This window comes from Homo sapiens, chromosome 3, assembly GCF_000001405.40.
Source record: "Homo sapiens chromosome 3, GRCh38.p14 Primary Assembly".
Lineage (NCBI taxonomy): Eukaryota > Metazoa > Chordata > Mammalia > Primates > Hominidae > Homo > Homo sapiens.
The window spans coordinates 133,963,777-133,975,896 of NC_000003.12; the positions used below are offsets into that span (position 1 = coordinate 133,963,777).

The 12,120-nt window shown below is 48.1% G+C and overlaps 1 protein-coding gene across 1 annotated transcript in view; it reads right to left on the minus strand.

Annotated features, from left to right (window-relative positions):
- SLCO2A1 (solute carrier organic anion transporter family member 2A1) overlaps nt 1-12,120 on the minus strand; it is a 97,225-nt gene that overhangs the window by 31,076 nt on the left and 54,029 nt on the right. The window contains exon 3 of the mRNA NM_005630.3: nt 9,887-10,049. Within this exon, the coding sequence (NP_005621.2) occupies nt 9,887-10,049 (163 nt within the window). The remainder of the gene's footprint in view (nt 1-9,886; nt 10,050-12,120) is intronic.

The window sequence follows — 12,120 nt, forward strand, 5'->3', positions numbered from 1 at the left end:
CACGACTCCTGGAACCTCATTCAGAATGTTCCACTCTGAAGGACTTATTTCCTCATCTCCTAAATTCAGCTACTCTACAGTTCCTCCTGAAACTCTGGCAACACCCACTGGCAGGCTTGGAACAGACTGTCCCAAACTCACTCATGATCTGAGATCCCAAAGTCGATTGTAAATTGGGTTGTTTGCAAATCAGAAATGATTGGGTTTCCAGTGTAGTCCACAAAGCCTAGTTAATCCATAATGCCCCAGTAATAACATGTGTTCTATTCCAGCTAAACTAAGCCTCCATTTATAAAATGATTCCTATGGGCAAATGCACTCAGTTTCATCTTGGAAAACTAGGAGAACATAGTCTTCTGCCCCAGAGGAAAAAATGAGTTGACGTTGACAGTCTGGGGCACATTGTGGGGCAATGGAAGAAATTCACACCTTGAAGCCAGACAGATGAGGTTCCAATCTTGGCTCTACTGCTTGATAGTCAGAGGCCTCTCGGAATGAACCTCAGTGTCCTCGTCTTCAAAACAGATATAATACCTGTCTTACAATATTCTTATGAGAATTAAAAATAATGAGTATATTATAACCTGGGACATAGTGATTATACGATGAGATCGATTTTCATCCAAAGAGATGAGTAACTGTGAGAAACTCAAATAGATAAGGGAAATGGGAGAAGCTTGGAGACAGGCAATGTTGCCCAGGCCTTTAAGAACTTGGAAACTGGGTCCAGAAACTAGATACCAGTAAGATCAATGCTGGTCACCAGCAATGGATGGATTATAATAAAGCAGTTACAGGACAAGTGAGTGTGCTTGGAGAAGTTCACATCTGTGGAGGAAAAGAAGCTCAGGGCAGTGGAAGGAGGAACTGCTCTGCTTCTCTCTCAAGACTGGGTTTCCAAGACTAGTTCTGAGGCTGAGGCTGGATGTCCCTTCCCATACTGCCACCTTGGCACTAGAGGGGGCCCTAGGGAAAATGCCTACTTGTATTGAGGAGGCTGTGCTATGAATGAGCTGGGCACAAGACGGTAGGCTCACTGTGCATGCCCAACAAGGCAGGGTGCTATATTGCTGGCCAGGGGCTTTCTCTTCCGCTGCCCACACCCCCACACCCTGGCCCAGCACATGGTCTGGCACCAGCACCTGGCTCGGCTCATCATCAGAGCTGGTTCTTTAGTGGATGAAGGGAAGGAAGACATACCTGAGGGAGCAGGATGCAGCTCAGAGCCATTTAATTTTAACATGCAAAGAAATGTGAGCTTAATTAGTACTCCCCCACCCTGATGGGTGTGAGATAGAATTTATTGTTCACAGATTTATTCAGTAAGCTGATGAGAAGCTCTTTAAAGGGGGAAAAAAAAACCGTTAGCGGAGCCAACATGAGCTCATCAAAAGCCAGTCTTGCCAAACCAACCTCATTTCCTTTGTTAATGGGGCTCCTGACCCAGCAGGAAGCCATAACATGGTGTTACTTGATTGGAAGAAGCCTTTTGACAAAGCCTGTCATGACATCCTGCTAGACAAGATGAGGACACATGGCTGGGGAGTCCTCAGGGAAAACTGGCTCAAAGCATGCCCGGCTCGGGTGCCCGTGGGCCAGCGTCACCCAGAAAGAAGCTGCTCTGAGCGCATGCCACTCAACGCTTGTCACGGACTTTGGAGAAAGAAGGAAACTGCTTACAAATGTGTGAATGACATGGATGACACGAAGCTGGGAGGATTGGACAGTCCAACGGCTGATAACTCAAAATTAGACCCACGGCTATAAGGAGGGACCCCAACCAAGGAGAATGATTCCTACAGGGAGAAAATATGAAGCTTGACCGTAGCTTCAAGGAATTCAGCTAGTCAGCTTGGCACAATGTATGGGGACAAGTCTCTGGTGTTTTGACCGCAAGTTCACAATTCCAGCCTGTGAGGAGGACCCTCAGATTCAGATGTGAGCCTCCCTCTGTCTTCTTCTCAGGGAGACCACCCTGACAGCACCGCACTGGGCCCCCAAAGGGCTGGAAGCCTTATTTTGTGTAAAGACCAGCAGCTCAGGAAGCAAAGGCTCTGGGCTATGTGATGGCTGTTTCCACCACTGTGGACTGATGGGCTGGTTCTGCTTGGTTCCAGAAGACTGACCTGGGACTGATGGAGTGGAGTATAGGAAGAGAGAATTCAGGGAAATCTAGGAAAACGAGTGACATGGGAGAGAGGGAGGGGCCTGCTCCCACAAACCATGACTGTCCACATTCAGGCAGCCTTACAGTCCCCATTCTTGAGCTTCAGCTCCAGATGCCTGAGGGCAGTAGTGGGCCTGGCAGAGAGAACTGTCTGGTCCAGAGATTGGCAAACCACAACCCGTGGGCTGCGTTCAGTTCCCAGCCTGTATCTATCAATAAGTTTTATGGGGACACAGCCACGCCCACTTGCTTATCTATTGGGAAGGGGAACTTTTGTGCCACTACAGCAAAGTTGAATAATTTCAGCACAGACCTTATGGTATACAAGTCTGACATATTTACTACCTGGCCCTTTACAGAAAATGTCTGTTGACCCCTGGTCTAGTCCCATGGTGTTCAAACACATCAGCCACCAAATCTTCTGCAACCAATGCTTCTGGAGAAGCACAATGTATGAGACAGACAAGAGCAGGTGTCACCAGCACAAGACGATGAGAGGGGAGTATGGAGTCCCCTGCTCACACCTCTCCGCACTGCAGCCCCAGGCCAAGAAGAGGCCAGGAAGGAGCTCTCCAGAACATTCCAGAGCACCAGCCAGCCCCCTTAGGTCCTGGTTTGTGGGTCAGTCCTCTGTCACGCTAACTTCTCTTTGCTGTTTCCCTCTTTTAGATTTCTGAGGCTCACATCCTCTCTGACTGTGTCCAGTCCAAGCTCTCAATCCTGAAAAGTCCTTTTGTTCCTGAAAGAAAGAAACTCTCCTTGTTGTTTCCAACCTCCTGGTGGGTAGCACGCTGCCCAGTTGGGCCCAGTGGTTCCCATTTCAAGGCTTCAGGGCCACAGGAGATGCCTGTGCACACAGTCAGTGTCCCAGCTCTACAGCTCTACTAAGTGTGGCAGCAAGAGCAGAAAGTTCCTCCCTGTCTCCCTTGGGGATGCTTGGGGACCTCAAGGCATCTTGCAGGGAGGATCAATGGTTTCTTTGAACCACATTTCCCTTTTTCTGTGGGGCTTTCCCTCATTCTCAACACTGTTCCCAGGATGCCCAAAGCCACTGGAACAGAAGCCCGCTTTCCTTTTTACCCTGGATACTAACTCCCAAGGAGGCCATCCTCCTGCTACAGGTGGGCCCAAGACACAGTCTGCCAGCCTTCCTGGAGAAGCGACTCTCAGCGGAGCAGGCTGCAGCTTGCCTCCTGGACCCTCCCCCCAAGCAGACCTGTCACTCAGCTTCATTCCTGAGCAAGGGAAATGATCAGGCATGCCTGAGGGTCCACACTTAGGTCTCCACCAGGCCTGTGCTAGAGACGCAGAACAAGGGGTCCAGTTTCCAGGTAAGCCAAGGGGAGTTGTGCCTTGCCCACAAAAACAGATGATAGAAAAGCCTGACAGAGAGTCAGCTACTTTTATGTCACGGCTCAGGCTCAGGCCCTCAGAGAGGCTGTCACACCATCACCATGGAGCGCAGAGCTCTCCCACCAGTTTCCAGCTTCGCTCCTTCCCGGGCCTTCTCTACCGCAGTCTAGTGTTTTCTATCATTTCTCCATGTTTATTTCTATTCTTTCCTACACCACGCATTTAAAAAATGTTCCACATCAAATCTCATTAAGTTTTGTTCTGCTCATCCGTTCAGGGCTCTATTTCTCTCAGTCAAATTAATAACACCCATGTGTTTTGTGATTTTCTCTGTTGTTTATTTTCTCTTTCTTTTTGAGTTAAATAGATCCACTGGCCAGGTTGTGCAACTCCCACTAGGATGCTCCACCCCGCCCTCCACCAATACATACACCCTTTCTCCTCCTTCCTTGCACATCTGCCCATCCCCACCCTCCAATCACCTACCACCCCACATGCTTCCCTTCACAGGCACCCCACCCCACCTCCATACCCCCCACACATGAACACACGCTTCCCCCTCACAGGCACCCCACCCCACCTCCACACCCCCACACACTTCCCCCGACATGTACCCCACCCCACCTCCATACCCCCCACACATGTGAACACACTTCCCCCGACATGGACCCCTCCTCACCTCCACACCCCCCCAACACATGCACACACACTTCCCCATCACAGGCACCCCACCCCACCTCCACACATTTCCCCCACACCACCTCTTCCCTCACACCTTCCCCTTCACATACACCCCAACCCTCACCCCACAACTCCACTCACACATCCACATACTTTACTCTCCTCTGCCTCCTACCCAAGTCCTTCCCATCCCCACATGCCCCCCACATCTCCACATACACCTACCTCCCCTCCGCACCCACACACCTCCTCACCTACTTAGCTTCCTACTCATAGACACGCCTCCCTCACATACACACCTATACACAATTACCCACAAACAAACTCAGGCTGCCCAAACCACGGGTGCCCCTCTCATTCCTCCAGGGCTTCCTAGCACACCCATCTCACACCATAGGTGGGTGTTCACTGTGGAAAGGCTGAGCTCCCTGTCCTCACCAGTTCACTCAGGATCCCGAGGCTCCCCGGCCCTGTGCCTTCCCACCGCCTTCTTTCCCAGGGACACCCTTGGGATATGCAAGCCCAGGTTGGGGATGGCAACTTCATGAATAAAGGACTGGAAAGTGACTCTTCCCTTTCTTTTTCTTGTCTGCTCCAAAAATACAGTGCTCCCCTGCCCCTCCTTAACCTCCAGGAAGCTTCCTGCCTGCGGCATCCATTGTCTGCATGTGGGCAGACTTCCCTCTGGACTTGGCTGAAGGATCATTCACAGGTTACACCTAGTCCTACCAGACACTGGTTTCCGAAGCCCCTTCTCTTATCTCCTGGGAGGACTGGTCTCACGTTGGCCAGTTTCCCATAGAGGAAAACCTCTCCGCGCCTTCCAGACGTGGTCTTAGAGGCTTTGGCTGGATAGCTCGTTTTTTCTCTAAAGGCGCCAGGGTACATTTCCGGACCCCACTGACATTTAGAAAATCTAAATATCCATAAATGTCTTCATGGCCTTTTAAAAATTAGCAATTAGTTGTTAAAGGTCTCTGTGATTCCCAAAATGTTTAGCCCTTCTTTAACTTTTTTTTCCTAAAACACATTGCTACTCTTCCTTTCCCATGTTCGTTTCTGGAGCAGCTTTACTCCAAGAGGAAGGAATCAGTAATCAACACAAGTAATAGGTCTGAGTAGCAGATTTCAAATACCACAACAAGGGCAGGCAAATAGAAATATGCTGAGCAGGTCAGGCGCAGTGGCTCATGCCTATAATCCCAGCACTTTGGGAGGCCGAGGTGGGTGGATCACAAGGTCAGGAGTTCGAGATCAACCTGGCCAACATGGTGAAACCCCGTAGCTACTAAAATACAAAAAATCATCTGGGCCTGGTGGTGGGCACCTGTAGTCCCAGCTACTCGGGAGGATGAGGCAGGGGAATTGCTTGAGCCTGGGAGGCAGAGGTTGCAGTGAGCCGAGATCGCACCACTTCACTCCAGCCTGGTGACAGAGCCTTGATTGCTGCCCAGGCTGGAGTGGAGTAGCATGATCATAACTCATTAAAGCCTCAAACTTCTGGGCTCAAGTGATCCTCCCACCCCAGCCTCCCAAGTAGCTGGGACTACAAGCATGTGCCATAATGCCCGGCTAACTTTTTTTTTTTTGTAGAGATGGGGTCTCACTGTGTTGCCCAGTCTGGTCTCGAACTCTTGGCCTCAAGCAATCTTCCTGCCTCAGCCTCCAGAAGTGATGGGATTACAGCATACCTGGCTTATTTCATTTTACTTTTACTCTCAGAACACACTGAAAGTCAAGGTATTCTTGCTCCCATTTTATAGGTAAGGAAACTAAAGTTCAGAAAGGTGAGGTAGCTTGCCTAAGAAGACTTGGCAGGTAAGTGACTGAGCTAGGATTCAAATGTTAAAGTCCATATGGAGTGGGGTGGGGTGCATGTCTACCCATCATACCAGGCCACACCAACACAAGAATCTGGGAAGAGAGCACAACAGCAACCTAAGCTTCCACCAACAGAAATCCTAAGGACTCACATGTGAGGATGCAGCAGGGACCATGCCAAGGGAGGCGCCCTGCTCCAGAACAGAGCAGAGGACCTATGATGTAGACCAGAAAGAAGCTGCCTTCAGATGTCCCCAGGCCATCCAGCCCATAAGCTGTCACATTCTTCACAGGAAGTAAGGTGCTTTCTCCTTTGGGATCCAGAAAGTCTACTAGTTTACACAACATCATGTATTGTCCCTACCACCGTGGGGACAAAAGCCACCACTTAGTGATTACTGCATGTGACAGCCACCAGGCTAAATTCTGAACAGGCACCTTCTCAGCCCCTGCAGCCCTACGAGGGCTATAAAATAGACACTCAGGGATGAACTGAAACTCAGAGCAGGGAGGAGGTGGCTCGAGCCCACTTGGGAGTCCCATAGCTCAGATTCAGACTGAGGACTGCCTGGTTCCAGTAGACCATTCAGGTTCACACCCCCACTCAGAGTGGTACATTTAATGAAATGCATTTGTTCCTGACGACCTTGCATGATTCAAAACTAAAATTTCCATAAGAATACATTTGAAGTAGGAGTCACATTTTAAGCTATTCCCATGAAGTAAGACTTTATAAATATTTTTATTTGCACATATTAGCATAGCACACTCACGTGGTGCACTGGCACCGTGTGCAGCCCCAGCTAGATCGCATGGATGAGGTTCCTGGGCCAAAGTCCTTCTCATCCCACCCCCTGGCACCAGGAAGATGCCCGAAGGTAGCTCAGCTCTGAGCACTTCCAGCATCTGCTTCTATCCCAGCCAGACTGAGGGAGACTGCTGTGCCCTATTGTTGCATATAGAATTTGCACCAATGAACAAGAACTACAAAACAGCCCACTCTTCTGGCCTATGGTGCGCCCCTGCAGCCTTGAGAGGCAAGCTGTGGTCTTTTCACAGCCCCTCTTTCCTCTATCAGAAGATTTTGTCTTAGAGCACTGAGGTCAAGGCTGGAACAGCACAGTGTTTCCTTCTGAGCTGAGAGGGTCATGGTTAGCTGAACCCAAACTGACTGATTATTCCTAACAAGGAACAGAGTGAAGTTGTCTTAACCAGTCTCCTGTGGCTGCTCAGTGTGAGGCAAATGCCACTGGCATGTGGGCCCAGGCCATGGGAGCTGACTTGCCAGGCTGAGCAGGCCACGATGTGTGGCGCCTGGCAGGAGGCCCTCCCCTCGGCCTGGCCACAGTGCCCCAGGCTCCCTTGCTGATTTCATTATCCCAGTCTTCACGTGACGAGAAAGGGCAGGGATTGTGGCTCTGGAAAGAAGACAGTGCAGCCAGGCTGGCCACACTGCTCTCTGAGAAGATGGCCAGCAACTCCTGACTCGCTTCAGAGCTGGCCTCAAGCTCTCATTAGACCAAGGGGGAGAAAGTGTATGGCAGGAGCCTGGGGCTCGGATCTTTCCTCATCCTCTGCCCACCTGAAGCAGGATTCAGCCCCACAGAGTCCATACATTTATGAGAAATGACCAGTTCACTGGAGATTTATAAAAAGGTGGGGGAAAGAGTTCCATGACCAGAACCCAGCAGATATTTCATCATTAGACACCCCCATTCTTGCCCTATTCTTTTCCTGTTCCAGGCACTTCGTTCTCTCCATCACTGGCCTGACAATCTTAAGGGCTGCCCTCTATTATTCTAAGTGGTTCATCTCTCAAACCTGGTCTACATATCTGATTGAAAAAATAGCCTGGTTTCTAAGCAAACCAAAATCGATTATTCCCTCAGCACCTCCCTGGGGGCTCATTTAACCTCAACTCCAATACAGTGGACTAAGGGTGAGCATCTATGAACTAGGCCTCTCACAAATGTCTATCACAAAACCACAGCCACTTTCCACAGTCCTTAAAACAAGTGCAAATTCATCCTAAGTCAACACATTAACATAAAATTAGTTCCAAAGCAATGACGGTCCTGGGTGCTGAGTAAATGTAAATGCCAAACCACTCTGTAGGGCTATTTCCTTACCCAGGCCACATACAATTTCCACAGGGCAAAAAAGCCCACTGCAAATGGCTCATGGTCAAACTCAAGGAGGTAATCCACCATGAACAAGAGCAAGCAGACATAAAACAATGGGAGGATTAACATGCTTAAAACTTGAGCTACTAGAACGATCTGAAAAAGAGTATAATATAAATATATTTAAAATAGCTGAAGACATCAATAACACAAAAGAAATCATAAGGAAACACCAAAAAATAGTGTCACAGAGCAGAGAGATTTGAACAACTATTATAAGAACTTCAGGAATTAGCAAAATATGTAGTGCCATTCAAATTCATAATGTAAAAAATGGGTTTGACACCAATTAACAAAGCTGGAGAGAGACTAAGTGAACAGGAAGTCATACTTTAAGGAAATTACCCAGGATGCAGCATAAAGCACTGAAAACTATGAAAGAGAGGTTAAGAGACAAGGAGGCCAGAAATGAAAATGTGAAGCCATATGTAAAAGGAGTTCCAGAAAAAAAGGATGGAGAAAACAGGGATGTGCAATATCAGGAATGTTTTTGGCAGAAAATTTTTCAAAATTAAAGAAAAACTCTAATTTTCAAAAGAAATAGCACATCGAACTTTCTAACAGATAAGTGAAAATTAAGCCATACTCAGATACCTTATGGTAGACATACAGAACAACAAAGAAAAGAAAAGAACAAATACTAAATAGAACTAGAGAAAAAACAGGATACCTAAGAAGGTATGACAATTAGACTAATGGAAGAGTCCCAATACCAGAAGACAGAGGCATGGTACCTTCAAAGTGTTGAGAAGAAATAACTATTGATTTAAAATCCTGTTTGTAGCTAAACTATAATTCAAGAGCAAGGGTAAAATAGAGGCATTTTCGGACAAAGACTTAGAGATTTTCTTACTCATAGGCCTACTGAAAGTAACACTAAAGGATATCCTTCAGGAAAAAAAAATTAATCAACAGCATGGGTGAAATGCAAGAAGCAATCAATGGTGAACAAAGAAACCAGTAAACTTGTGAGTACATAAATAACCACTCACTTATTTATAAATAACAGTATAGTAACAATTTATAATAATGACCACTGTGGGGAGGTTAAAGAGAGGTAGAACAAAAATATGGGTCAACCATAAGTGGAAGATGAGAGAGGATGGTGGGCAAAAAAGCATCTATGATCCTTATTTTGCTCTCTTGGAGAATAGAGACATTAATGAACTTCAGTGGTTGTTAAGTCATACATCAATGTTAAATATAAGGGTAATAGTGAGCATCCTATGTTCATGGATCGGCAAACTCAACATAGTAAACATGATCAAATGAGATCGTGCAAGTGCACTGTCACCTAAAGACAGAAGAATGTACAAATGTCACGAAGTGCTATGATTAAACATGGACAAAATCCACAGACTTCATCATGATTTAATGCTTTGATCCTCCTCCTGCCAAGCCCCATTGCAGAAACTGCTCACAGTGTCCCCAGGGAGGTGGAGCTTGGGTCATTCCTGGCATGAAGCACAGGGAATCACAGCAGGAGGTGAGCCATGCACTGCACACTTTCCTGAACAAACCAGAGTTCAGTTGCTCCATAGCTCTACATACTTCAGTATAGTCTGAGCTTCATATGCCCTCTTCCTGGAGTGGTATCCACTGCCCTAGGAGTATCCCCACTAACTTTGTGAGATGTTCACCCATTCCTTACCCCTTGAGGCAGGGGTTGGAAGCCACTCACCAGTGCTGGCCAAGGTGTACTGGTAGGGCTCGGAGAGGAAGTGTGGGAGGGTGAGGATGAAGGCACCTGCAGCCAGGAAGAGACCTCCGATGCCAATCAGACGTGGACGGTGCACCCGGCTGCCAAAGTAGCTGACAAAGATGATGAGGATGGCATTGCTGATCTGAGAAGAGAGCAGAAGGGCTGAGTGAGACAAGAGGCCCTGTCCTCACCCACCCACAGAGAAGACCCGATCACACTTCATCCAGGAAAACTGGAAAGGGAGGGGGCTGCCCAGTGTCAGCTGGGGCCCAGACAGAGTTACAGTGTCAGCTTTTCCCAGAGAGCTTCACAAGGGGCAAGCATAAGCAATTTTGGTTTTCCCTCTGTTATCAGAAACCCTTCTGGGTCTCCATCTCCTAGACCAGACCAAAGGAAGTATCTGGAGATTATGAAACACTCAAAACCTAAACTTTAACCATCTTAGAACCAAACCTTTTTGGGAAAAAGCCAAAGAAACCTCCAATTCTGGCTGGCTCCTAGGAATAAAACACATTCCCTAATTAAGCTTGAGAGTTTGTACCTAAAGTTTAGGCAAAATCCCAAGTTTAATTAGGTACAAATTAAAGGACCCAAGGACCTTGGCTTGGTGGCCAGAATAACAAGCAAGCAACATGCTTATCTCATTTAATCATGAAACAATTCTCATTTTATCTGACAAAACTGGGGTTCAGAATATTAAGTAACATACCCATCACTATGAGGTTAGGGCATGGCTTGAACCAGTCTTGCCTGACTCTAAAACACCAAGGCTTAACTAGAGTTGTCTGCCACCTCTTGGAGAAGAGGGTTTCTGCCCAAGCAGCTCTGCTACTATCCTGCCCTTTCCCCTGCCTTGGTCTGTTTTCAATTCTGTGAAATGAAGGATAAGAACTAGAGCACCCCTAAAACCCTTCCAGCTGGAAACATGGGTAACTCCATGCTCCTGGTGCTCCCTGGAAGATGTGCTCTCTGAGCCCCACCCAGAACCAGGGAAGGGAACTGAAGGCTCCAGCATGGGGAGTAAGGTCTTCAATGGTAAGGGGATGCTGCCAGGCCTTCTGACCACGTCTCCACCAAAGATGGTCCTCTCCTCAGAGCACAGTTCACCTGGACTGGAGGAGCTCTGTAAATCTGCAGCCATAGCCCTGCCTTGTTACACCCCACTTTCCTCCTGGGTGGAGAAACGGGTACTCCTATGTCAGGAAACAGAGGCTAGAGCCTCAGAACATGGCTGTCACTAAGGTCACCAGTGGCCTCCTCATTGGCAAATGTACTGGTCAATGCTCAGTTCCATTTGACTCAGTTGACCATTTCTTTTTTCCTGAAACACTTCTTTCAGAATTCCCATGACACCATCCTCTCCTGCTTCCCTTCCCCTGTCTGCTCCTTCTCGGTCTTCTTGGCTTATTCCTCTTTATCTCCTTGGACTCTCAACATTGGGCCCAGAGCTCTGCCCCTAAGTGTGTCCAGTTCCATGGCTATTTATGCTCTGCGTGTGCTTCTAAGTCCCACAGTCTCAGCTCATCTAAACTCTCACTCTTCTTCCTTCCTCCAAAACCCCAGTCCCCTGTCCTGGTCCTCCTTGTCTCAGTAAATGGCACCTCCATCCTCCCAGTGGCTCACACAAAACATTCGAACATCATCTTGACTTCTCTCACACTCATATCTAATCGATCAGCAAATCCCCTTGGCAGGACCTTCCATAGCCACCTGGAAGCCAGTGATTCCTCAACCTCCAATCCTGTCTGAATTACTGTGGTAGCCTCCTAACGGGACCCTGCCTTCACCCATGTCCTGCTACTGTTCATTCTCCACCCAGCAGCCAGAAGGGTCCTGCTGAACTATCAGACCATGTTCCCTCAGCTCAAACCCTCCAGTGGAAAAAGGCAAAGGCTGTCCCAGAGCCTCCCGAGTCCTACACAGCCTGCCCCCTGGTCACCTCTCAGGTCTGCACTCTTCTGCTCCTCTCCCTCCCTCCATCCAGCCATACTGCCCCCAGCTGTTCTTTGACCACACCAAAGAACAAAGGCATTCCCCCAGCCCCTTTTGTTCTTGCTGCTCCTTCTGACTTTACGTCCTCAGGACTCCATTCTTAACCAGATTCAGGCCTCTGCTCAGATTGAATCATCTCAAGAAGGTCTTTCTCTGACCTCGTCATTTAAAATACACCTACATCCCCAACACTGAGGCCCCGTATACCTTTTCCCATCCAT